The 26932-nt window shown below is 39.1% G+C and overlaps 1 long non-coding RNA gene across 1 annotated transcript; it reads left to right on the plus strand.

Annotated features, from left to right (window-relative positions):
* The first annotated feature begins 1001 nt into the window (after positions 1-1001).
* LOC105372677 (uncharacterized) lies at positions 1002-26793 on the plus strand. The gene is made up of 3 exons (XR_936887.2): positions 1002-1084; positions 23861-23919; positions 26632-26793. It is a non-coding gene; the product is annotated as an uncharacterized LOC105372677 (long non-coding RNA).
* The last annotated feature ends 139 nt before the right edge of the window (positions 26794-26932 follow it).

Genomic DNA, 26932 nt, shown 5'->3' on the forward strand with positions numbered 1-26932 from the left:
GAATCATATTTTTGTATGTGCTTGGTTTCTTTCATTTGCATTTCTGTTTAAGATTCATCCTATAAATTCTTTGTAGCAGATATCAGCATTTTTCTTTTTATGACTGAATAGTATTCTACTGTATGGCTGTACTGTATTTATTTATTCATCAGTTGATGGATGTTTATATCATTTACACTTTTGGGGCATTATGAATAATATTGCCATGAACATTTACATACAAGTCTTTGTGTGTATATGTTTTCATTTCTGTTGGGTAGTTATCTAGGAGTGGAATTTCCAGGTCATATGGTAAACATTCGTAAGTCTTACTGAATAAAAATTAAAATTTTTATTGCCTGCCCAACTTTCCCAAAAATTTAAATTAAGCCTTCACTCCAAGCAAATCATATTCTTGGTATTATATACATCACCTTAATAAAGGTTAGAATCTTTATGGACCAGCCTTTCAACAAAGTTAAACAAAAGTAGCACAGCGCTGAATGGCAACCAAAGGTGATCACATAAGTAGTCTGATCTTTACTTGCATCCCTTGAGGAAAACTTGTGGTAAACTAAGTTATATCCCAACACTTTATAGAATCTTCTTCCCTTTTATTTCTAATTTTTCTAACCTCCCCTACAAAAGATGAACACTCTCTTCGCTCACACATGCAGCATCTCATCTGTTTCCTCCTCTTTCTTCTTCTCCAGTCCTTTATTGTGTCCTCTATAGAGCTTCTCTGACTTGTCCGTGTGAAAGGCACTGTGTGCAGAAACCAGGGACATGCCTCTAGGTCTTCAACACCAAAACTTGCTTTCAGAAAAATAATTGCTCAACCAGTCATCCCATTGAAAAAATATTTGTAAGCCAGTTTCTTTCACAGCTTAGAGGGAATTTAGCTTTAGTGTCTTTGTCTATAACTGAGTCATGATACCAGTGGGTCAGTCCAGATAGACTAGATTCTAATGTAGTAACCAACAATTCCGAAATCTCCATGGGCACTGCGGGTGGGCAGGGATCTCTGCTCCTATCAGTCACTCATGGCCGAGGCTCAAATATTGGTGACCTGTATACCTCCAGAACTCCAGAGGGTCTCCCACCGGTAATTAAATATTTATCCCAGAATTAACACTTCTGCTTGCAGCTCATTGGCAAGAGTCAGTCAACAGCCTCACTCAATCACAAGGAAGCCAGGAAGAATCCTACTACATGCCTCTAAGATAGGTCAACAGGCTGTGTTTGAGAAATAGGAAGAGTGACTATCTTTCGTGACCATCAGTTTCTCCACAACACTTGACATTTGTAAAAATGTGGGTGTTTAAAAGTGGGGCATTTGTAAGAAAAGAAAAAAGAGTTGGTATAATTTCTGCAGCCCATTGGCAGGCTGTGGAAAATTTGTATGTAATTCACATATTCACATAGTGAAATTTTAAATGTTTTGAGTAAATTTCTTTTTTAAAGAAGAATGTTGGTAAATCTTTTTCTTTCTTTTTTGAGAAAAATTTGCCCCTAACTATAAATTCTCAATTTATGAGCTTCACTAACATGGGATGCATCCAGTCGTTCACAGAGTCAATAGATCACAAATATTTAGCAAGCAACTATTACCTAAGGTTGCTCTTCCAACTCCAGGAACAATTTGTTTGTGTCACATAATTGGAAAATCTTCAGCTGAGGGTCTGATCTCTTTCTTTGTGGCCTCCTCTCTGCCCTCCCTCACACTTGCTTTGTCCAATTGCTGCTTCTGTTGAGAATCATGAGCATTTCCCGGGGCTCAGTACCTGCTGCTTCACACATACCAGAAGAGGCAGAATTGCTCTTAGTAGCCCTCCTGGAACAAAAGGAGGCATCTTTCCCAGAGTTCCCAAGAGTCATCTCCACCCGAGTTATGACACATTAATACACACCACAAAAACAAGTCCACATTCCTCACACTGAGGGACAGGCCTGTCCTCCTAAAAATGCAAGACCAAAAATGGAGAAGGAATAAATTCCCAGAGAAAACTCTTGAGTGTTAGGAAAAAAAGGAGATTAAGAAATGGTTGCTCTCAAGGCAATCAATATGCACTCACAAACTCACGTTATTTGAGGATCCTAACTCTCTACTGTGATACTAAACCATTATAATATCGTGTGCCTGCTGCCTCATAACATTTATCTAAAAAACACAGAACTCTTTAGTATGTAAAACAAGAAGCCAATACCTGAGAATTAAAAAAATAAAGATGATTATGAAAGATTATTGTTCTTAAACTTCAAAAATGTAGAGGATCATCAAGATTATAATGATGGCATGAATTTTTAATCCGCCTCATTTAAATCATGTCAAATACAATGCAAGGTCCCTGAATTGTAAAATTATTTCACCCAGATTGTTTCACCAAGATAGCATGACTTGACACAAGCCATATGTAATCACTCAACCTCCTTGCTTAAAGAAAAAAAATTCAGAAATTAGAGTCAAGCCCCGTCTGACACAGGAAACATTTATTTTAGTGGTCTTCAGAGTGCTGTACATAAAGTTGTTCAAACCATGGTCATTAGACTCCAATTTATATTTCTGTTTTTACATTTCTGCCTGCAAAACTAATTCAGTCTAATCCATCTCTTGTGGATGACTGGGAAACCTTCAAAAGATAAATACTGACTATGGTGAAATGTACCCAGAAGAGAAAGCAATTCAAATTAATCTCACTAAATATCACCATTAGTGAGCAATGATTCATTTCACTCACTCAGAAGGGAGGATTTTTTTACACACCTCTATAACTGTTATTTGATATTGGGGCTAGCCCCAGTTGACAAGAATTGTTTCAAGAAATGAAAACAGCACCAAGCTAATGGTTGTTTTCAGTGTAATCTTGGGTTTACCCAGCCGACTTGGAAAGCAGGTCTTATCAGAATCACACTCGAAAATATAGCATTAGAGATCGTAAATTAGTATCTGTTGTCTGAGCAATGCTTAAGGTTAAATATAAAAACTCTCAATTTATACATGTATTTTAGGTGAGATGAAGGGCAAAGTATACTTTATGGCAAACCAGAATGTCAAGTATGTGGTTTGAACTCAACCACTCATGTATTAAATGATACCAGGTAAATAACATCAATTTCTTCCTATTTAAAATATTCCCTTAGACATCTACTCTCATAACATCTGACTCACACAACAGAAAAAATATATTGTACACTACTGATAGTGTTTCCTCTCCGCCAAGAGAAGGAACAAGTTGAATAGACAAAGCACTGAGGTCAGGGATCTTTTCCAGGTTTAAAATTCCCCCAAGCTCCGTGCACATGATGAGCCCTGGTTGATTTTTATCCAACACCCAAGTTTCTGTTGCTACTGCGACTTCTCGCCAGGGGTCCTGATTTTTGATGCATCAGCTACAGCAGACATTGGGACCTATGCATAAGTAATTTTGATCACTGAGTCATGTGGGTGAACTCATAAGATGAATTTGTGTGAACTTCAGGATAAAATATAAGCACACAGATTGATAATTTATTAGTAGGCGCTTAGCAGATGTTTTCAGAGCTGTGGGGATGAGGTCCAGGGTCTGTGAGGTTTTATAGGTGACAATCTCTGATCCTGAGGATCTGAGTCATTTTAACTCTCTAAATCTCCCTTTCTTTGTGGTCAAATTGAAGACTAATAATCTGGAATAATAATCCATAAAGGAATTGCCATGTTTGTCCAGCATCTTCCCCTTCTTAAAGGAAGACTACCTAGCCTACTCCCATGTTCCAGGGAAATCCCTTGCCCCTCATGCCCAAGGCCACCTGCCCATCACAAAACCCCACCTCTGACCACAGAGACATCATGCACCCAAGATGAGCCAATTGGAGGCCTTCTCCAAGATATTTAATGTAGAAAGAAAGAAACAGCAATAGCTTCTAATGAGTACCACCTGCTCCGGGTACACCCCTAGCTTCTCTGCTGGAAGCAACAGCAGGAAACAAAACTCGGTTCATGAAATATCAATCCACAGAGGGCTCTTTTGCCAGAAATCAATTTTTTTTATTATTGTTATACTTTAAGTTTTAGGGTACATGTGCACAATGTGCAGGTTACATATGTATACATGTGCCATGCTGGTGTGCTGCACCCATTAACTCGTCATTTAGCATTAGGTATATCTCCTAAAGCTATCCCTCCCCCCTCCCCCCACCCCACAACAGTCCCCAGAGTGTGATGTTCCCCTTCCTGTGTCCATGTGTTCTCATTGTTCAATTCCCACCTATGAGTGAGAACATGTGGTGTTTGGTTTTTTTGTTCTTGCGATACTTTACTGAGAATGATGATTTCCAATTTCATCCATGTCCCTACAAAGGACATGAACTCATCCTTTTTTATGGCTGCATAGTATTCCATGGTGTATATGTGCCACATTTTCTTAATCCAGTCTATCATTGTTGGACATTTGGGTTGGTTCCAAGTCTTTGCTATTGTGAATAGTGCCGCAATAAACATACGTGTGCATGGGTCTTTATAGCAGCATGATTTATAGTCCTTTGGGTATATAACCAGTAATGGGATGGCTGGGTCAAATGGTATTTCTAGTTCTAGATCCCTGAGGAATCGCCACACTGACTCCCACAATGGTTGAACTAGTTTACAGTCCCACCAACAGTGTAAAAGTGTTCCTATTTCTCCACATCCTCTCCAGCACCTGTTGTTTCCTGACTTTTTAATGATTGCCATTCTAACTGGTGTGAGATGGTATCTCATTGTGGTTTTGATTTGCATTTCTCTGATGGCCAGTGATGGTGAGCATTTTTTCATGTGTTTTTTGGCTGTATAAATGTCTTCTTTTGACAAGTGTCTGTTCATGTCCTTCGCCCACTTTTTGATGGGGTTTTTTGTTTTTTTCTTGTAAATTTGTTTGAGTTCATTGGAGATTCTGGATATTAGCCCTTTGTCAGATGAGTAGGTTGCAAAAATTTTCTCCCATTTTGTAGGTTGCCTGTTCACACTGCTGGTAGTTTCTTTTGCTGTGCAGAAGCTCTTCAGTTTAATTAGATCCCATTTGTCTATTTTGGCTTTTGTTGCCATTCCTTTTGGTGTTTTAGACATGAAGTCCTTGCCCATGCCTATGTCCTGAATGGTAATGCCTAGGTTTTCTTCTAGGGTTTTTATGGTTTTAGGTCTAAGGTTTAAGTCTTTAATCCATCTTGAATTGATTTTTGTATAAGGTGAAAGGAAGGGATCCAGTTTCAGCTTTCCACATATGGCTAGCCAGTTTTCCCAGCCCCATTTATTAAATAGGGAATCCTTTCCCCATTGCTTGTTTTTCTCAGGTTTGTCAAAGATCAGATAGTTGTAGATATGCAGTGTTATTTCTGAGGATTCTGTTCTGTTCCATTGATCTATATCTCTGTTTTGGTACCAGTACCATGCTGTTTTGGTACCAGTACCATGCTGTTTTGGTTACTGTAGGCTTGTAGTATAGTTTGAAGTCAGGTAGCATGATGCCTCCAGCTTTGTTCTTTTGGCTTAGGACTGACTTGGCGATGTGGGCACTTTTTTGGTTCCATATGAACTTTAAAGTAGTTTTTTCCAATTCTGTGAAGAAAGTCATTGGTAGCTTGATGGGGATGGCATTGAATCTATAAATTACCTTGGACAGTATGGCGATTTTCATGATATTGATTCTTCCCACCCATGAGCATGGAATGTTCTTCCATTTGTTTGTATCCTCTTTTATTTCATTGAGCAGTGGTTTGTAGTTCTCCTTGAAGAGGTCCTTCACATCCCTTGTAAGTTGGATTCCTAGGTATTTTATTCTCTTTGAAGCAATTGTGAATGGGAGTTCACTCATGATTTGGCTCTCTGTCTGTTATTGGTGTATAAGAATGCTTGTGATTTTTGTATATTGATTTTGTATCCTGAGACTTTGCTGTAGTTGCTTATCAGCTTAAGGAGATTTTGGGCTGAGACAATGGGGTTTTCTAGATATACAATCATGTCATCTGCAAACAGGGACAATTTGACTTCCTCTTTTCCTAATTGAATACCTTTTATTTCCTTCTCCTGCCTAACTGCCCTGGCCAGAACTTCCAACACTATGTTGAATAGGAGTGGTGAGAGAGGTCATCCCTGTCTTGTGCCAGTTTTCAAAGGGAATGCTTCCAGTTTTTGACCATTCAGTATGATATTGGCTGTGGGTTTGTCATAGATAGCGCTTATTATTTTGAGATACTTCCCATCAATACCTAATTTATTGAGAGTTTTTAGCATGAAGGGTTATTGAATTTTGTCAAAGGCCTTTTCTGCATCTGTTGAGATAATCATGTGGTTTTTGTCTTTGGTTCTGTTTATATGCTGGATTACATTTATTGATTTGCGTATATTGATCCAGCCTTGCATCCCAAGAATGAAGCCCACTTGATCATGGTGGATAAGATTTTTGATGTGCTGCTGGATTTGGTTTGCCAGTATTTTAGTGAGGATTTTTGCATCAATGTTCATCAAGGATATTGGTCTAAAATTCTCTTGTTTGTGTCTCTGCCAGGCTTTGGTATCAGGATGATGCTGGCCTCATAAAATGAGTTGGGGAGGATTCCCTGTTTTTATATTGATTGGAATAGTTTCAGAAGGAATGGTACCAGTTCCTCCTTGTACCTCTGGTAGAATTCGGCTGTGAATCCGTCTGGTACTGGACTCTTTTTGGTTGGTAAGCTATTCATTATTGCCACAATTTCAGAGCCTGTTACTGGTCTATTCAGAGAAATCAATTTATTTTTTAACAGATGAATAAATTTACCACTTTTCGTCTAGGAGGAGCTATTGATGATGTTTACCATAAACTATTACTGGATGAGATGCTATCAAGAATGTCTGAATATTCCTACTGAGTTTTAGTTGAAAGTTGGTTGTTTTTTCTTCAGAGAAGCAGTTTAGGAATGTTCATCTTTATCTCTGCAGCTCCCCATAACCCAGCTGCCCACCATATACCTTTAGCCTCAGTCCCACAAAGTGCCAGGAAGCCAAGCCAAACTTCGTGGTTGTAATAGCACAGACCTATTATGACCTATTTTACTTCCCTTTTATACCAGTTATTAATCAAAGTCCAAGCATCTCCATGCATCCTTCATTTTATCCCGGAGGGTGGGTGCATGCTCTGATATGGTCCAATCTGCAACTTCCAACTCCTGTCCTACACTGGAACTCATGGTCTGTCATCAGAAAAATCTCCCTGACTCTCCATCTCTTCTTGGAATGTTCTCTTTTTCTTCTGGCTCTAACAAACTTGACTGTAATCAAAATACAACTTGTCCTGCACATCTCAGGTGCTACCAGGCCTGTGAGTAAGGCAGGTATCCTTCTAGCTCTTCACAGCTCCCTCAAAACAATTTCTTCCACCTTCCTCCATGAAGTAAACACCATCTAAGATGCAACCCCCTATTCATCCTTGTTACCATCTCTTAGAAATATGGCATCCCCCATCATTCAGTGAAGACTGTGGCCCAGAGGCCTGCATTTTCATTTCTCCCATCAGTTCCCTTGGGACCTTAAACAACCACATAGGCTAATAATCTGAAATCACACATACCACAGTGTTTCCTCTAGCTGACCTCAGTCTTGCACTTATACAATTAACTATTAACTTTGCATCACTCAGAGCCATACCACCTCAAAACAAGTAAAATCTTAATTCCATGGGTCCCACTTGCTAACCACCACCAATCTATCTTTCCAGTTCAGTCTGTCTCTAGTATTTCTATGCAACAATTCTCCAACCCTACTGAGACACTGATATGGTTTGGCTGTGTCTCCACTCAAATCTCATCTTGAATTGTAGTTTCCATAATCCCTACATGTGGTAGAAGAGACCCGGTGGGAGATAACTGAATCATGGGGGCAGTTTCCCCCATGCTATTTTTGTGATAATGAGTAAGTTCTCACAAGATCTGACGGTTTTATAAAGGGCTTCCCCTTTTGCTTGGCTCTCATTCTTCTCTCTCCTGCCACCATGTGAAGAAGGACATGTTTGCTTCCCCTTCCACCATGACTGTAAGTTTCATGAGGCCTCCCCAGCCCTGTGGAACTGTAAGCCAATTAAACCTCTTTTCTTTGTAAATCACCCAGTCTTGGGCAGTTCTTTATAGCAGCCTGAGAAAGGACTAATACAGACATCCAATCTATCCACCCTGCTACTTTTTTATCTTACATTTTCATGTTCTCACTTCCATTCTTGTCTAGTTTAGCTCCCATTGCCCCACATTATAATCACTTGCTAGCTGCTCTATCTCTTTTGCATTTGCCTGAGAAAACCACGAGATGGGTAGTTCACTGCTCCATATTTGGGCACAAGGGACTGGCCAGTTGAGCATAGCCATTCTTTTGGGCTCCTCTCCTGCCACTCTCTTTTCAATCTCTACATTTTAACTGCTTCTATCCCTAGACTTCTGAAAGTAACCCAAGCCTGCCAACCTGCCCCAATTCAGAATCTATCAATTTTCTCTTTCCTCTACCTGGAGCAGTCTGCAACATTCAAATGCTCTTACCTGGCTCAGCTTCTCATCCTTCAAATCTCTGCTTTAACATTTTGCCCTTTTTTCATTTTTAGTTTTATTGTGATGAAATTAACATAAAATTAAGCATTTTAAAGTGAACAATTCAGTGGTACTTAGTACATTCACAGTGTTGTGCAACAAACACCTCTACTTCCAAAACATTTTCATCACCCCAAAAGAAAACCCGTGCTCACTAAGCAGTCCCTCCTCATTCCTACCTCCCACCAGCCCCTAGAAATCAATGATCTGTTCTCTGTCTCTGTGGATCTGCCTATTCTGGGATATCCTTCCTTTTTGATAGGCTTTCTCTAAGTATCCTCAGAGAACAACCTTTATGGTTCCCTATCCTCTCCTACTCACTGGTTTCTCTTAATAGCACATATTACTATCTAAAACTATGTTATTTATATATTAGCCTGTCTTTTCCTCTAAGCTGTGAGCTCCATAAGCAAAGATCTTGTTTTATTTATTTTTCTGTTCTCAGTGTTTGGAATGGTGGCTGGCATAGAAAGTTCTCAATACATATTTGTCAAGTGAATAAAGATAATCTTATGAGGTGGTATAGTCTTAGACTCTACTTAGTTTTCAGGTAAGTAACAATACTAAATTTAAACTAATTCAGGCAATAATAAGTAAACAGATGAGGTGACTCTCTCTCTTCATCATCATCATCTCAGGCCATTTTCTTCATATGGATGGCTTCCCGATGAATTATGTAAACATTACCAGTTTATTTTCCACCCTTCCATTCACCCATCTATCCACTCATCCATTCATCCACCCACCCATCCATCCATCCATCCACCCATCCATCCACATATCCATCTATCAATCCAACCATCTACCCCACTCATCCATTCATTAATCCATCTATCCATCCATCAATCCAACAACTTATTTATTGAACCACACTTCTACGTTTAAGCACTTTTATCAGAGCTGTACATGGAGCAATAACTAAGACTATATCAGATAAGATGTTTTTCCCGCCCACTCACATAAAATATGACAAAGAAGTGGGAGATATGCGAGAGAAAAGGCTTCTAAGTACAGGAAATGACGAAAACAAATGTTTTGATGAAAAGCTGTGCTAAATGTGTTTAAAGAACAGCAAGGAGTCAAGTGTGACTGCAGTAACACAAATAAAAGGGAGATTAGTAGGACATGTGGTCAGAGAAATGGCAAAGGGCAAGGCCACATAGGGCCATATCAGCCGTTGCAAAGACACTAGATTTTATTTTGGTGGAAATAAGGAGCTAGTGAAGAGTTTTAAGCAGAGTAACAACATAATCTGACTTACATTTTAAAAGTTTCACTCCAGCTATTATGATGAGATGTAGGCTGCAGGTAGGCAAAAGTATAAGCAGCAAGATCTGTTAGGAGATGATGGTCAGAGTCCAAGAGAGAGATGCAAGTGGCAGGATGAAAGCAGTACATGTGTAAGCAGTGGGGTTTTGAATTAATTTTTAATGTAGCTAATGGGATTAGCTAATTTTCTAGCATAGTCAATGGGATTAACTAACAAATAGGCAATGAGGAAAGAGGTAGGTAAAAATCCCTTGGGGTTTAGGCCTAATCAATGGAAAGGGATAAGTTGTCATTTACCGAGAAGGGGAGATGTTTGGGGAAGAAGCATATTTGGTGGAGAATCAAGATTTCTGATTTTGTCATGTTAAGTTTGAGATGTCTAATGATGCATATAAAGCAGTTGTGTATATAAATCTGGAACTCTGGGAACAGGTTAGAGCATGGGATAAAAAATAGTTTAAAAATAAAATGAAACAACATATATTAAAAAATTTGTACACGTTGGTCAGACCTTCTTACTATTCTGCTCAACTGTGCAATAGTTGCCAACCTGAAAGAAAGTTCTGAGTCTTTATGGTGGCCTCCAGAGCTCAGTTCCTCTTTGACCTCATCTCCTATACTCTCCCTCCATCCAGCCACACCATCCTCCTAGATGTGTCTTATCCTGGCAAACATGTTTCTTCCTAAGCCTTTATGCTTATCTTCCCATGCCTGGCATGCTCTGTCCCCAGATACCATCTCACCTTACCTCATCAACAACTTTAAGTCTTTACTCAGACGTCACCTTCTTTTTTTTTTATTATTATACTTTAAGTTCTAGGGTACATGTACACAATGTGCAGGTTTGTTACATATGTATACATGTGCCATGTTGGTGTGCTGCACCCGTTAACCCATCATTTACATTAGGTACATCTCCTAATGCTATCCTTCCCCCCCAACCCACCCCATGACAGGCCCCAGTGTGTGATGTCCCCCACCCTGTGTCCATGTGTTCTCATTGTTCAATTCCCACCTATGAGTGAGAACATGCAGTGTTTGGTTTTCTGCCCTTGCGATAGTTTGCTCAGAATGATGGTTTCCAGCTTCATCCATGTCCCTACAAAGGACATGACCTCATCCTTTTTATGGCTGCATAGTATTCCATGGTGTGTATGTGCCATATTTTCTTAATCCAGTCTATCATTGATGGACATTTGAGTTGGTTCCAAGTCTTTGCTATTGTGAACAGTGTCACAATAAACATACGTGTGCATGTGTCTTTATAGCAGCATGATTTATAATCCTTTGAGTATATACCCAGTAATGGGATGGCTGGGTCAAATGGTATTTCTAGTTCTAGATCCTTGAGGAATTGCCACACTGTCTTCCACAATGGTTGAACTAGTTTACAGTCCCACCAACAGTGTAAAAGCGTTCCTATTTCTCCACATCCTCTCCAGCACCTGTTGTTTCCTGACTTTTTAATGATCGCCATTCTAACTAGTGTGAGATGGTATCTCATTGTGGATTTGATTTGTATTTCTCTGATGGCCAGTGAGGATGAGCATTTTTTCATGTGTCTTTTGGCTGCATAAATGTCTTCTTTTGAGAAGCATCTGTTTATATCCTTCACCTACTTTTTGATGGGGTTGTTTGATTTTTTCTTGTAAATTTGTTTAAGTTCCTTGTAGATTCCGGATATTAGCCCTTTGTCAGATGGGTAGACTGTAAAAATTTTCTCCCATTCTGTAGGTTGCTTGTTCACTCTGATGGTAGTTTCTTTTGCTGTGCAGAAGCTCTTTAGTTTAATTAGATCCCATTTGTCTATTTTGGCTTTTGTTGCCATTGCTTTTAGTGTTTTAGTCATGAAGTCCTTGCCCATGCCTATGTCCTGAATGGTATTGCCTAGGTTTTCTTCTAGGGTTTTTATGGTTTTAGGTCTAACATTTAAGTCTTTAATCCATCTTGAATTAATTTTTGTATAAGGTGTAAGGAAGGGATCCAGTTTCAGCTTTCTACATATGGCTAGCCAGTTTTTCCAGCACCATTTATTAAATAGGGAATCATTTCCCCATTTCTTGTTTTTGTCAGGTTTGTCAAAGATCAGATGGTTGCAGATGTGTGGTATTATTTCTGAGGGCTCTGTTCTATTCCATTGCTCTATAGCTGTTTTGGTGCCAGTACCATGCTGTTTTGGTTACTGTAGCCTTGCACTGTAGTTTGAAGTCAGGTAGCATGATGCCTCCAGCATTGTTATTTTTGCTTAGGATTGTCTTGGCAATACAGACTATTTTTTGGTTCCAGATTAAAGTAGTTTTTTCCACTTCTGTGAAGAAAGTCATTGGTAGCTTGATGGGGATGACATTGAATCTATAAATTACCTTGGGCAGTATGGCCAGTTTGACGATATTGATTCTTCCTACCCATAAGCATGGAATGTTCTTCCATTTGTTTGTGTCCTCTTTTATTTTGTTGAGCAGTAGTTTGTAGTTCTCCTTGAAGAGGTCCTTCACATCCCTTGTAAGTCGGATTCCTAGAAAAGGCCTTTGACAAAATCAAGAGCCCTTCATGCTAAAAACTCTCAATAAACTAGTATTGATGGGACGTATCTCAAAATAATAAGAGCTATTTATGACAAACCCACAGCCAATATCATACTGAATGGGCAAAAACTGGAAGCATTCCCTTTGAAAACTGGCACAAGACAGGGATGCCCTCTCTCACCACTTCTATTCAACATATTGTTGGAAGTTCTGGCCAGGGCAATCAGGCAAGAGAAAGAAATAAAGGGTATTCAGTTAGGAAAAGAGGAAGTCTAACTGTCCCTGTTTGCAGATGACATGATTGCATATTCAGAAAACCCCATCGTCTCAGCCCGGAATCTCCTTAAGCTGATAAGCAACTACAGCAAAGTCTCAGGATACAAAATCAATGTGCAAAAATCACAAGCATTCCTATACACCAAGAACAGACAAACAGAGAGCCAAATAATGAGTGAACTCCCAATCACAATTGCTTCAAAGAGAATAAAATACCTAGATGTCACCTTCTTAACGAGGTCTATCTAGATCACTCTACCAAATTTTTAAGCCACCCCCACTGCGTTGCATACATCTCCTTCTTTGGGGCGTGTATAATTTACTATTTTCGGTCTCTTAACTTATAAATATCCTAACTCCATGAGAGTAGAAACTTAGTTTGTTCCATTACTGTATTGCAAGTACCCAAAATAGAAAACCCTGGATCAACATTTGTTCAATGAATTGAATGAATAAAAGAAAATACTGCTCTTTGGGTGTGACCTAGTTTGGCAAGTATTTCACTTTTCTAAAATTTTAAATTTCTAAAATTTCCTTCTAGAAAATGAGACATTTTCAAGGAGGTTCTCTCCTATTTTCTTCTAGGAGTTTTATAGTTTCAGATCTTACATTTAAGTCATTATTTTGAGTTGATTTTTGTATATGGTGTAAGATAAGGATTCAATTTTATTCTTTTGCATGTGGATAATCCAGTATTTCCAACACCATTTGTTAAAAAGACTGTCCTTTCTCCACTGCTAATCTTGACACTCTCATTGAAGATCAGTTGATCATATGTGTATGTATTTCTTGCCTCTTTATCCTGTTCCACTGGTCTGTATGTCTGTCTTTATGCCAGGACCATGGTCTTCTAATAAGAATAGCTTTATTATATATTTAGAAGTCAATCATTGTGATGTCTATAGCTTTATTCTTCTTTATCAACATTGCTTTGTCTATTCTTGGTCTTTGGGAGTTCCATAGAAATTTTATGATTGTTTTTACTACTTCTGAAAAACTGCCATTGGGATTTTGATGAGGATAGTATGGAATCTGTAGGTCGCTTTACATAGTATGGATTAGATGTCTTTCCATTTATTTGTGTCTTTTTAATTATTTTTAATCAATTTTGTGTAGTTTTCAATGTATAAATCTTCTACATCCTTGATTAAGCTTATTATGGTTATTTGTTGATATTATAAATGGTATTATCTCAACTTCCTTTTTGTATTGTTCACTGTTAGTGTATAGAAATATAATTGATTTTTGCAGGTTGATTTCATATCCTGCAATTTAATTGAATTTGTTTATTAATTCTAAGAGGGTTTTTTTGTAGATTATAGAGCTTCCCATACATAAGATTATGTCACCTACAAGGAGAATTTTGCTGGATGCCTTTTCTTTCTTTTCCTTGACTGACTGCTCTGGCTAGGATTTCCAGTACTATGTTGAATATAAGTGTTGAGAGTGGGCATCCTTATCTTGTGCTGATATTAGAGGAAAAGCTTTCAGTTATTCACCACAGAGTACAATATTAGTTGTATTAAACATTTTCTATGATCTCTCCCAATTCAGACCTCTAAATTTAAGATCCAGAAGAACAATGGGGTGTAAAGGAGTTTGACACTGAAGTCAAACTGCCTTAGTTCAAACACGGTTTCTATCCATTAGCTGTAATTTTTCTTTCTGTGGGTTTCTTTACCTGAAATGTGAGTAAAATAACAATACATAACATCAGCCAGGAACCAGTTAGGAAAACAGAAGCCATACTAGGTATTACAATTATGGGGACTGAACATGGGGAATTGGTCATACTCAGGGTCCACTAGGGCTTGTGGATGATAATTGTCAAAGCCCTGACATACAGTAAATGTATTAAAAATATAAGTTACGGGTGCAAAATAGTTAATGACATTATGCCTTACATTGAGGTTTTGTCATTTCTATTGTTGGATGCTTAAAAATGAATTATTTAGAAAGAAAAATGGAATAATTCAATTGGAAATTCAAATGACTAATAATTGAAAAAAGGAAAATTGAGGTGAAAGAGTGGAAAACAGTTATTCAACTCACTCATTCTTTGCTTCCAAAAGAACACTAGTGAGAATTTCTACTTAAGAGCAAAGAAAAAGAAAAACTAATTAATGCTGTCAGAGTCAGCCATTATTTTAGTCCCACAGCCCCCTGGTGAGCATACGGTATTTTTATTACCAAAGTTCATCACTAGTGCTTACTCAATAATTAGATAATCCCCACTGCAATCTATTATAATAACACCTAAAAAGATTCCTTATTGCATCTCCACATATGTCAATAGCTTTCACAAACCATAAATCAGTAATATATTGCTGGCATCAGAGTTTTAAGCAATTAATGTTAATCAATATGAAAACAAAAAGACTGATGTGGTAGGGCTTTTTCTTTCTCTATGTACAATAAAGAAACTGCAACTCTTTATTTGAATTAGTTCATCACCTTTTTATGTTTGTCATTAGCTGAAATGACAATTACTGTCAAATCGTCATCATCATCTAATAATTTTCTACAAATGTCATTTTGCATAGCACACTGTATGAGACTTTGAGCATGTCTCTAATATTATAGTTCATGTTCTTAGAGAGGGCCATGTTAAATTCTAGTAGAGAACAAAGCCTCAAGGGAGATGTTAATTTGAATAGTTCCAAAACACCTTATGGTATGCCAGTGTGGGAGATATTGTAAAGCATAGTGTTTTAAATTACAATAATACATGCTCTTTTGGATTAAAATATAGATAAGATTATGGAGAAGCACCCCAGGCAACTACCTATGTTCAGAGTGTTAGTCTTGGCCCTGAAATGGGGAAAGACAATATATCTGCTACTGAAAAAGCATCTTGGAGATGGCAACGTTCTTTGACAGCCCTCTTGGAACAGGCTATAGATTGCCTGCTGAGCATCTCCTCACCCCTTCTCAGTTCCTGATAGGATTCTCACTTTAAACAGGTATGCACCTCTTTTCTGTGCAACTCATGTGCCTTCGGTAAGATGACATCACTCTCAGCATTCTGGGTGGACTTTATTGGTGTAAAGATCCCCTTGCCAGAGATTGGCTTAGGACTTGTCATGTGACTCATATCTGGCCAATAAAACATAAAGTGACATCTCTTAAGAGAGTCATAAGAAGGGTTTTCTCTCTCCTAAGGAGGAACCAAAGGGGGAAAAAAAGTCTCTTTGCTTCTAGACGTTGTTTCTGTAGATGTAAAGGCTGTTAACTTCTGCAGTCATCTTGCTGAGAATAAATTCAGAATGAAGATGGCAAAATGGAGCAAGAAATAAGTTAATGACCCGGAAGGCCTCCTTCTGAAGTTGTTATTAGAGAGATAACATACTTCTTTATTGTTTAAGCTGGTTTGAGTTGAGGGTTTTCTTCACTGCAGCCAAAATGCCATTAGCCAAAATCTAAACTGGTATAATTTTCACTTTATTAAGCAGCATATCTTCCTGCTATGTTTTTTCCTATACTCATTTTAAGACTTCCTATTAAAGGATAGACTTAATTTATTCAACTGTGACTATTAAAGCCAATTCAAATATCATCTGGTCCTTGAAGCCTTCTTCAGATCTGCCAAAATAACTGGCTCCTTTTTCTGTGTTTTTGGAGCAATAGTATCTACATCTACCCTAGAATGCATCGCTCTGTATTATAATTATTTCCTGTCTCCCAATATCATTTGATTTTGAGTACCTTAAGGTAAGACATTGGGCTGGGTGCAGTGGCTCACGCCTGTAATCCCAGCACTTTGGGAGGCCGAGGCGGGCAGATCACGAGGTCAGGAGATCGAGACCATCCTGGCTAACACGGTGAAACTAAAAATACAAAAAATTAGCCGGGCACGGTGGCGGGCGCCTGTAGTCCCAGCTACATGGGAGGCTGAGGCAGGAGAATGGCGTGAACCCAGGAGGCGGAGCTTGCAGTGAGCTGAGGTTGCACCACTGCTCTCCAGCCTGGGTGACAGAGCGAGACTCTGTCTCAAAAAAAAAATAATAAAAAATAAAATTAAAGACATTGTTTCCCACTCTTCTTCAGATTATCAGGAACTCTTGTGACACCCATTACTTAGAAGATTTTCAATAATTATTCTAGAATGAATAAATAAACAAATGCATGAATGAATGAACCTCTAATCACAGATACCCACAACTCTACACACACCCTCCCTTGTCTTTGCGTTTTTGAATTTATCTAGCACAATATTCAGCTCTTTCTAATTATACCTCCCTTCTGTCATTTGAAAATGGGTCGCTTTTTCCTACACTTATTTAAGTCTTCCTAAAACATCATGAAATGGGAACTGAAATGCATGTATGTCATTAAGTAAACATTATCAGACCTCAAAGAACCCAGTGAAGGCCACCAACGTTCCTTGAAGAATTAAAGCTGAAATGGACTAGCTCAGCGTTACGAATAATGCGTTCCTCAGAAGTATCTTTTAAGATGTAAACAGGTGTTTTTTTGGATAAGAAGCTCTACAATCAAGTAAATTAGAATACACTGTTTAAAAAATGTAAACAGGTTCTTTAGTGCAGAATTGCTTAGAGCTTACTGTATGCCAATGTGCTCTATGAATCTCTGAGAGAGATATGGTATATTTTTTCAAAATGTATTTGAACATAGAATCAATTTTTCCAGGTACAACTATTAACATACCATAACAATTATTTAAACACAGTTTAAAATACATTTTACTGGATCCACTGAGCTTTGACTGTCACACCCTGCTATTTTCCTAAAAAAGAATTAGAACTAAGATATTATCTTTACAAAACTTCTTATGTATTTTATATTTTTATATTATTAGGTTTTAGTAGCAACCTTAAGAGAATCACAAAATCTTGGATCTGAGAGGAAATCTTAAAATCCTTAAGATTTTACATTGTACAGTATGGGGAGTGATTATTGATTATGTTGGTATTCATGAACCCCTCCACAAATCTGATGAAAATATTTGCATGTCATAGGAGGTCTAGAACATTCATGTTAATGTACTTCACTAGCTAAAAATGAATATAAAAAACTGAATTATGGCAATAGTGGCATAATTATAGTATGACAGTAGTATAGTAGATCCAGAAAAATGCATCTACACAGAAAAGCTACAAGAAGTTCACAAACCTTTTGATGAATATTCATAGACCCCGTGTTTTTAATGCCTTTCCTCCTGTGATGACTACTGTACATATTGAAGAAACTTAGGTCCAAAAGTCATACAGCTTTTAAGATCAAAGTCAAGATAAGAATTTGGGAATTCTGGCAACCTCGCTGCTTGTTTTCAGATTCAATCTAGCTGAAAACAATTTTTATATTATTATTTTTGGACTCTATCAGGCCTCTCTGCTCTTCTAAAGCTGCTAATGCAATTAATTGAACCTACCTCAGTCCATCACTAAAGACAGTGCGGTTGGCCAGTGTTTTCCAATGCCTTAGGTGGTTGTCCTAAGATTAATTCCCTACTACTGTCATACTATAATTATGCCACTATTGCCATAATTCAGTTGTTTATATTCATTTCTAGCTAGTGAAGTTTCTAGACCTCCTATGACATGCAAAGTTCAAATAAATAAGGATTCAGAAGTCTGACTGTGGTCATAAATTCCAGAATAGAAAAAACATGAATGTTCTTAGCATGCTTCTTTGTAAATAAGTTTGATGACCCTTGCTGAAAAAAAAATTCATGAGTAGAAAATATTGCTAGTGATAATTACCACCCAAACTTTATTGATGTCTGTGTGTATGTACATAGTTGATAGATGATAGATATAGATAGATAGATAAAAGTGGCATGTGTAGACATTAAATGCTTTAATGTTTATGAAATGTTATTACTATGGACCATGCTCATGAATACTAATGAATGAAAATTGCATGCTTTTACTCAAAATAGAGACCATAAAATTAATTTATTAAGCATTTGTTAAGCAGAACATAGGATAGCACTGTTATGAGCTGATACTCCAGTACTATCCTAAAATTTCAGCTTGGGAAAAAAGTCCCAAGCAAATGCAACTGCCTTCAAATAGACCTATACAATGTTAACATTTATGAGTTACCCGAGCCATGTGTCAGGTACCCAGCCAACCACTGTACTTGCAATCTTTATATTGAATCTTTACAGCACCTAAAAAAGGTGGCTACTTCTCTCTCTCTTTTAACAGATTAGGAAATGAAGATTCAGAAAAGTTCAATAACTGTCTCATGCTCATATGGTTAGTAAGGGTGAGAGCCTGGGTTTGAACCCTTGACTTTTTGGTTCATCATCCTAAGTTCCTAACCATTATACATCTTGCCCCTTGGTAACCACTGGCAGTTCTGCAACTGCTAGGGCCAAATGCAAGCTCCTGATTCATATTTTTATTTCCCCTACATTTGTTAACATAATCAGTCACTTTTGTTGAAAGGTATTCTTTTCAAAAGCCAGCTATTACTGAGTTTTTCTACTTCATTCAAACTCTTCATCCAATATTCATCATCCTGGTTTTCTTCAGTCATCAATTCCTTCACCTATGCATGCATATATTATGAAGGACACTATGCAAAGCAAAGTTGAATGAAATATGGTCTCTGCCCTCAAGAAACTTGGAATTCAGAGGAGGAAGAAACAATTAAACCAATTAGTACAGCACAACTTAAAATGTCAGCACGTGGGTTACAAGATCATGGAAGAGACTTACCCAAATTGCCCTGGTGTGTAGGATGGAATTCCTGAAGGAACTGTTGCCTGAGCTGAGTTTTGAAGAACGGTGGGAATTGGCTGAATAAAGAAGAGTTGGGGCTGGGAGTAGGCATTGTGGACCTAGGGAACAATATACATGAGGCCTAACCTAAAAGGACGAATTCTACAAATTGTAACTAGTTCAGAGCAAATGAATTCTGGAGCATGGGTGCCCTGTATCTGTGTGCTTTTATGCATGTGTAAGCTATGGCTTAGCCTTTACAAAGCCTTAGCATGCTGCCCAGAAGTTCACTCTGGGTCTAGGTCCCAGCTTCTCTCTCTCTCCTCTCTCTCTCTCTCTCTCTCAATATGTTGTGAGTGTGTGTGTGTGTGTGTGGTGTGTGTGTTTTGAGTATATGTCTGTCGCAAATGTATGTGCATGTGTTGCATATGTGCAGAACCTGTGAAAAACTCCTTTCATGTCCTTGTTTCTTGCAGAGAACTCTACATCATCCTACACATGTCTTCTTGCTCCTTCCTCCTTACGAGGAAGGTCCTGAGAAACTTCCTTCATGATCCTCCACACCCTTTGCCATCACTGTATCCCATTCTCCCTTCTTAAGAGAAGCAGATGGGATGAACAGACTATGATTATTACCAAAATAAATTATACTAGCAACTGTCAGTCCCTTCCTGGGCAGTATATCTGCAGCAAAGAAAAAGATATCACTAGTGTCCCTGTTCAATATCCCTTTGTTCATAAATTTTGCTTTCTCCATTTTTAATTTCTACTAACAGAGAAACTGGCTCCTCAATATCTCCAATGAGACATGAGATTCAAGATTAGATGTCACTATATGCCTCAAAAGTATACAAGCAGGTAGAATACTCCACCCAATCCCAATCCCTTGGGCCCATCAGTCTTGGCCAATCTCCAGGGTCTTGGCTATGGACTTTGTGTTCATTCCCATGGACAAGCCAGTCACCCAACCCCTGTGAGCAGAACTGCACAGACCACTGAAGAAGGTCACCATGAGAAGAGCTCTGTAATGTCTGTATGTAACTTATGTAGGGAGTAATCTGAATGTGGCACTCTGTAATTTTCTCTGTCTCCTTGGAATCTACCATTTCTCTCTGTAGTTCTTTCAAGGTACAGTCTGATGCAAAGAGAAGAGCCATCCCTGATTTGAGCAAATCCTAAGACTAACCCCATGAACTCTGTTCCTCTTCTTACACACTTAGCCTTTTGAAAGTGAAGCCTTCTATGAGACAGAGAAGCCCAGGATACATCTTCCTGCTTGAATGATTTTTTAAAAGGCAGAAAAATGGGTAGGGGAGACACAAGGAATAAAAACTCTCCTTCAATCACATATGCCTATGTAGATTATTCTGGTTATGAGATCACACTTTTCACGAAAATCTCAGAGGACTTGGTGTCCTCTAAAAGGTTAAGAACCCCTGATTGAGAGAGATCTTTAGCAATGGAAATAAAAATTCTGCTTCTTCAGAATAAAGTGGATGTGCATATGTCATCTCCCCTCAGATAAGTCTGATGCTAATTGCTCATTCAGGTATGAATCCTTTCCATCTGACACCACTGCTGCTTCCTGATGTACCTGCAACTTTTGTGATTTTACTACCCATGCAAACAGTCATTTGCTGCCTCCAACAAAAGACACGAGCTATTTATTGCTTTACTTTACAGATGCTGCTGGAGATCACATTTAACAATACAAATACCACAGAATTGTCTTTGGCTGTCACAAGCTGCCAAAGTGTAGCTCAAACCAGAGCCTGATAATGTACTTTGCAAAACTCTATGCTAGTGATTTTACACACATTCCAGGCTTAATTAGACAGGGCTAAAATGGAACCTAGCTTTTAGCAGTTACACTCTTTTGTCGGTATCTAAACAGTAATGCTTATCTCTTGGTTTGTGACTTGTCTCACAAGTATATATAATTGCAGTATTTCATTACTGGAAACAAACTTCAACATCTACTACAGCATACAAAAATGCAGTGAGCAATTCTATTTGGGCTGAAGATGTACTACAAAATAAATGGAATCTAGTCTTACCTAAATATTCATCTTTCATTTTGGAGGAACACACACACTCACATGCACACACCACTTCTACTGCTTGCTTTGTTCTGAGTTAACTGTAGACATAGCTAAAACCTTCCAGGTTTGCATGGAGCTGTCTACCAGATGGGAAGGTGAAGGTAGGGATGGCAGTTACACTAGGACAACATTACCTGAAAAATCCTGGCAAGCCCCTTCACCCCTCCATGCCTCAGTTTTCCCAGCTTTAAAATTGTGTAACAACAATTTCAGAGAGTTGTTACATGAGTTAATCAGTGTAGGGTCTTCAAACCAGAACATGCCACTAGATGTTCATTAGTAGTACTGTTATTATCTCACAAGTGAGCATAAGAATATCACCTTGAACATGAGAGGGCTTCTCTGAAGTCAGACGGGTTAGTGCACATGCAGCATTTAGAAGTATTTCCACACGTGTGAAAACGGTGCAACTGCTAACTGTTGCTATTTCATCTCCTGGAGGCATTATTGTAAAGACAGTGTTCAAAATGCACCTGTTGTATTCAGTGAACCTCCACTATCGATTTTGTGGACTTATGTGCATTTTGGGCCTTTTTGTTACAAGGCCAAATATTGTGCAGGGTGAAGAGGCCAAGGATGGAAATTAGGACAAAGGAAAAGGGAGAAGAGAAAGAAAAAGAAATCGATACAAGAGGCACTTACTGAACTATTTTGTGACTGATTAGCAAGGATAGCTTCTTCTGCGTTCTGTTTTCTTCCTTCAGGGAATTTTCCATCATTTTAGGCTGGTTTAAACTGTGTCCAATCACTATAACCAAGCTTTATAAAGAGATAGGAGATTCTCTTTTTATTATTTTTGGCCAGTGATGTTCCAGCTTAAACTAATTACCAGGAGGCCCAAGGTGCTCATTCACTCACTGTTATATGAAACTGTAACACTTTTGCTTTCAATTGGGAAAAAATTTAAAATGTCTGGATTTGAAAAAGAAATGCTTCTAGCTGGTACCCATCTATACCTGTAGTCATAATGATGATGGCAATAACAGCAATGCAATCCAGGCATCACTTGGGGTCCCACATCTCTCAAGATCTGAGCAGGGTTGCTCCCAATCCCAATGTCACAGCCTAACGGAGCCTTCGGGAGTCCTAGTCTCATCCACATGACTGCTAATGCCCATGTGATTCTGCTCTCAGCCTCCCACTCTAAACCTTATATGTACAACCTTTGGTGAACCCGGAAGTTCCATGAAGCATATGGCTCCACCTAGGGCTTTGACCTTCCTCTCCTCTTTCCATCTCTTATTTTCCTCTCTCACTCTCAAGAGCTAGCATTTTCTCTCATCTCATGCTAGGAGATATTACTCCCTTCTTGACAGATTTGGTGTCAGCCAAAATCCACGTTCTGGCAATAGATGCAACTAAGAGAACAAAAGTATCCTTAATGTATTACATTCTTTACGTTATTATTATTAAGATTTTCAAGTTTTTGTCTAACCATCTTATTTAAAGCTTCCATTTTATGGTTTAATGATACCATTAACTAGGTGTAATCACTATTATCATCCTCACTAATCTTGATACCAGTAATTCTCAACTGGGGGCAATTTTTCCCCTCCCCTACCCCTCTTGCAACATTTGGCAATGTCTGGAGACATTTTTGGTGGTCACAGATTGGGGGCGGGAGATGCTTTAAGGGGTAGAGGCCAGGAATGCCGCTAAACATCCTACAATGCATAGGATGGTCTCCCAGCTCCAAAAGTCAATAGTGCCAAGGCTGAGTAACCTTGCTTTATGCCTATTGTGAAACTCAGCCTTAGGTTAGCCAAGTCATCCAAGGATACAAGTATGAAAGGGCAGAGGTGAGGTTCTACTGGTTCCAATGGCTTTCCAAATCCAGGCTCTCATCTATGACATAAGCTACCTGTCTTAGTTATATATCACTAAGCAGCAATATTACCAGAAACCTACAAGCTTAAAACAACATCCTGTGCACAGCTTACCAAGGTACTCAGAGTCTCACAAGGCTGTAATTCAGGTGTCAACTGGGGCTGTGGTCCCATCTAAGGCTGGGATAGGGGAAGATTAGCTTCCACGATTAATTAGTTTGTTATCAGAATTTATTTTCTTGCCACTATAGGACCAAAGTCCACAGTTGCTGCTGCCCCAGCTCCTTGAGGCTTTCCACGATTCCTTGCCACAAGGGGCTCCCCAACATGACCACTTGCCTCCCCAAAGCTAGTAAGGGACAGACTCCAGTATGATGTCATGTAATCATGTACATTCCCAACATCTTTGCTGCATTCTACATGTAAGAAGCAAGTCACAATCCCCCCTACACTTAATAGAAGGAGATCACACAAGCTCATGAACACCAGGAGGTGGGGATGGAACCATCATAAAAACCTTTCCACTGCACTGTTAATGGTATCACTACCTTGAAGATAGTTTCCTTCCAGTGTAGCAATTTCAAGAACTGTATCCTCACAAATGTGTATGTATCCATCCATTTTTACAGACCTCGACGAATATGTACAGAAAGCCTACTGTAAGCGTGAAGACCCTGTGCTGAGGGAGGTGAGCATTCCTGATACTGACTTAAGGTAAATGCTGCAAACATAGTTCTGGAAGTCAGCTTGATGAGGCCGTTGGACCACTGCACGGAATCCATACCCCCTGCTATAGTGTGAAGATGATGATCAACAGAGCCCTTTAAAAAACAAAAGAATGCAGACCGTCTCATGAAAGAAAAACAAATTTGGTACCTTGTTTAACTTTGAATGGCACACAACTGATTCCTTCCTCTAACCCCTTCTTCTGTCTGTTCTTGTCCTGTTCTTCCCCGTAGTTACCTTTATTTATCCTTCCATTCTATTTATTACTTTTCCCACCCAAGCCCTTGCTGGACACTCATGAGGGCTTTCAGGCATAGAGAGGTCAGAAAATTCAGAATGAAAATGCTACAATTATTCCAATAATTGTCACATATATTAATTGGAGCTTTTGGGTGCAAACAACAGAAATGAATTCTGACAAAGTTAAACAAATAGGGAACAAAGGAAAAGGTATGTGATGGCTCAAATAGTTGAAGAAGCCAGTGTTAGAAAGAGTAGAAACCTGAGAAACCCACAGCTTCAGGTAGGAGTTGATTGACTGCTTTCTAATGGCTGTGAACACAGTGCCTGATACGTATTTTTTCAACCTTGCCTCCCCTTTCCTTCCCTTCCTTTAGAATTCCTAGTGTCTTTTTTTTTTTTTTTTAAGATGGGTTTTGCCATGTTGTCCAGGCTGGTCTCAAACTCCTGAGCTTAAGCAATCCATCCACCTCGGCCTCCCAAACTGCTGGGATTACAGGCATAATCCACCGTGCCCGACCTCCAGTGTCTATTTTTCCCACCTCTGTGCCTAGGTATATCGATTGTTTTGCTCCCACTTACTAGTGAAAATATGTGGGTTTTGCTTTTCTGTTTCTGCATTGAAGCATATAAGAAAATAGCATCTAGCTGCATCCGTGTTGCTGCAAAGGACGTTATTTCATTCTTGTTTATGGCTGTGTTGTATTCTGTGGTGTATATGTGCATTTTCTTTATCCAATCCACTGATGAGCATCTAGGTCGATTCCATGTTTTTGCTATTGTGAACAGTGCTGTGATAAACATACTACTGCAGGTGTCTTTTTGTTAGAACAATTTATTTTCTTTTGGGTATATACCCAATAACGGGACTGTTGGGTTGAATGGTAATTCTATTTTTAGTTCTTTAAGAAATCCTCAAACCACTTTTTTTTTTTTACAAGGGCTGAACTAATTTAAATTTCCACCAACAGTGTTCAAGTGTTCCTTTTTCTTGACCTCGCCAACATCTGTTGTTTTTTCACGTTTTAATAGTAGCCATTTTGAAAGGACACCCTATTCAATAAATAGTACTGGGGAAACTGATTAACCAAATGCAGAGGAATGAAACTGGATCCAGTTCAACTCTTTCTTGGGGCTAAGAGCAGTGGTTTGGGTACTCATGCCAGAGACATGGTTCTGAGGTTCTGCTCAACTGCTTAAAGGGTGCGTGACCTTGTGTAATTCATTAAGTCACTCGGTGTCCTAATCTGCAACATGGGGATGGAAATAACCTCCCATATTCATAGAGCTGTTGAGAGAATTAAATAAGTAGCCTGATACGTTGTAAGTATTCAACATTCAATATATGTTAGAAATGTCTCTTTCTTTTCTCTTTTACCGGATGTTTACCTTCAATTCGTGTACTAGTTTTGGTTTTGGCTTTCATATTCTCACACAGATTTTTCAAAGCACCCAAGGGTAGCTTCAAGAGTATGTGACCCACAAGTCATTCGGGGCTCCATGCTCAGAAGCACCCCTCGTTTGGTTTAATGCCCTGCTATTACTATCTTGAAATTCTGAATTTTTTTAAGGGGCTTCACATTTTCAGTTTTGCTTTTCATTATTTTACACAGCTATATTAGGTCGTCCTTTCATTACTATAAAGAGATGCCTAAAACTGGGTAATTGATAAGGTAAAGAAGTTTAATGGGCTCGCTGTTCTGCAGGCTGTGCAGGATGCATGGTGCTTCTGGTGAGGCCTCAGGAAGCTTACAATTATGGCGGAAGGTGGCAGGGAGCAGGCACGTCACATGGCAAGTGGGAGCAGGAGAAAGCGAGTGGGGAGGTGCCACACTCTTTTAACAATTAGATCTCACTTGAACTCAGTACCACTCATTACTGTGGGTAGGGCAGGAAGCCATTCATGAAGAGTCCACACCCGATGACCCAAACACCTCCCACCACGCCCCACCTCCAACACTGGGGATTACATTTCAACATGAGATTTGGAGGGGCAAACACTAAAGCCATATCAAAACCTATGCTCTGGTCGGGTGCGGTGGCTCATGCTTGTAATCCCAGCACTCTGGGAGGCCAAGGAGCCGGATCACTTGAGGTCAGGAGATGGAGACCAGTCTAGTCAACACGGTGAAACCCTGTCTCTACTAAAAATACAAAAATTAGCCGGGTGTCGTGGTGGGCGCCTGTGACCCAAGCTACTCAGGAGGCTGAGGCACGAGAATTGCTTGAACTCGGGAGGTGGGGGTTGGGTGTAGTGAGCCGAGGTCGCACCACTGCACTCTCCAGCCTCCAGCCTGGGCGACAGAGCAAGAATTCATCTCAAAAAAAAAAAAAAAAAAAAAAAAAAAAAAAAAAAAAGCTATGCTCTCAACAGTTGTCAATCAATCCCCAAGGTGCAGCTATTTCCTAACACTTGTAGCATTGTGATTGACAGGATACATTTTTGGAGAGTGGAGACATCCCAGGACTGAAGACACAAGCCTCCTGTCCAGCTCTAAGCAATGCAGCAATGCAAGGACAGCGTACAGTACAAGTTTGGAAAAGTTTCTCTTTTTCTGGAACTGCGGGCAGAGAAGGGATCTCAGATCAACCTCAGGTCAGCAGCATAGTTACAGCAAACCTCCATTTCACTTTGTTTAGAGAGGTTACAGATAAAGTACGTTTTCGTTGTTTTATATTGTATTGTTTCGTTTTGTTACCCAATTTAGATCTTGCTTTTTTATTAATGCTGCTTG

The sequence above is a fragment of the Homo sapiens genome, chromosome 20 (assembly GCF_000001405.40).
Source record: "Homo sapiens chromosome 20, GRCh38.p14 Primary Assembly".
Classification (NCBI taxonomy): domain Eukaryota; kingdom Metazoa; phylum Chordata; class Mammalia; order Primates; family Hominidae; genus Homo; species Homo sapiens.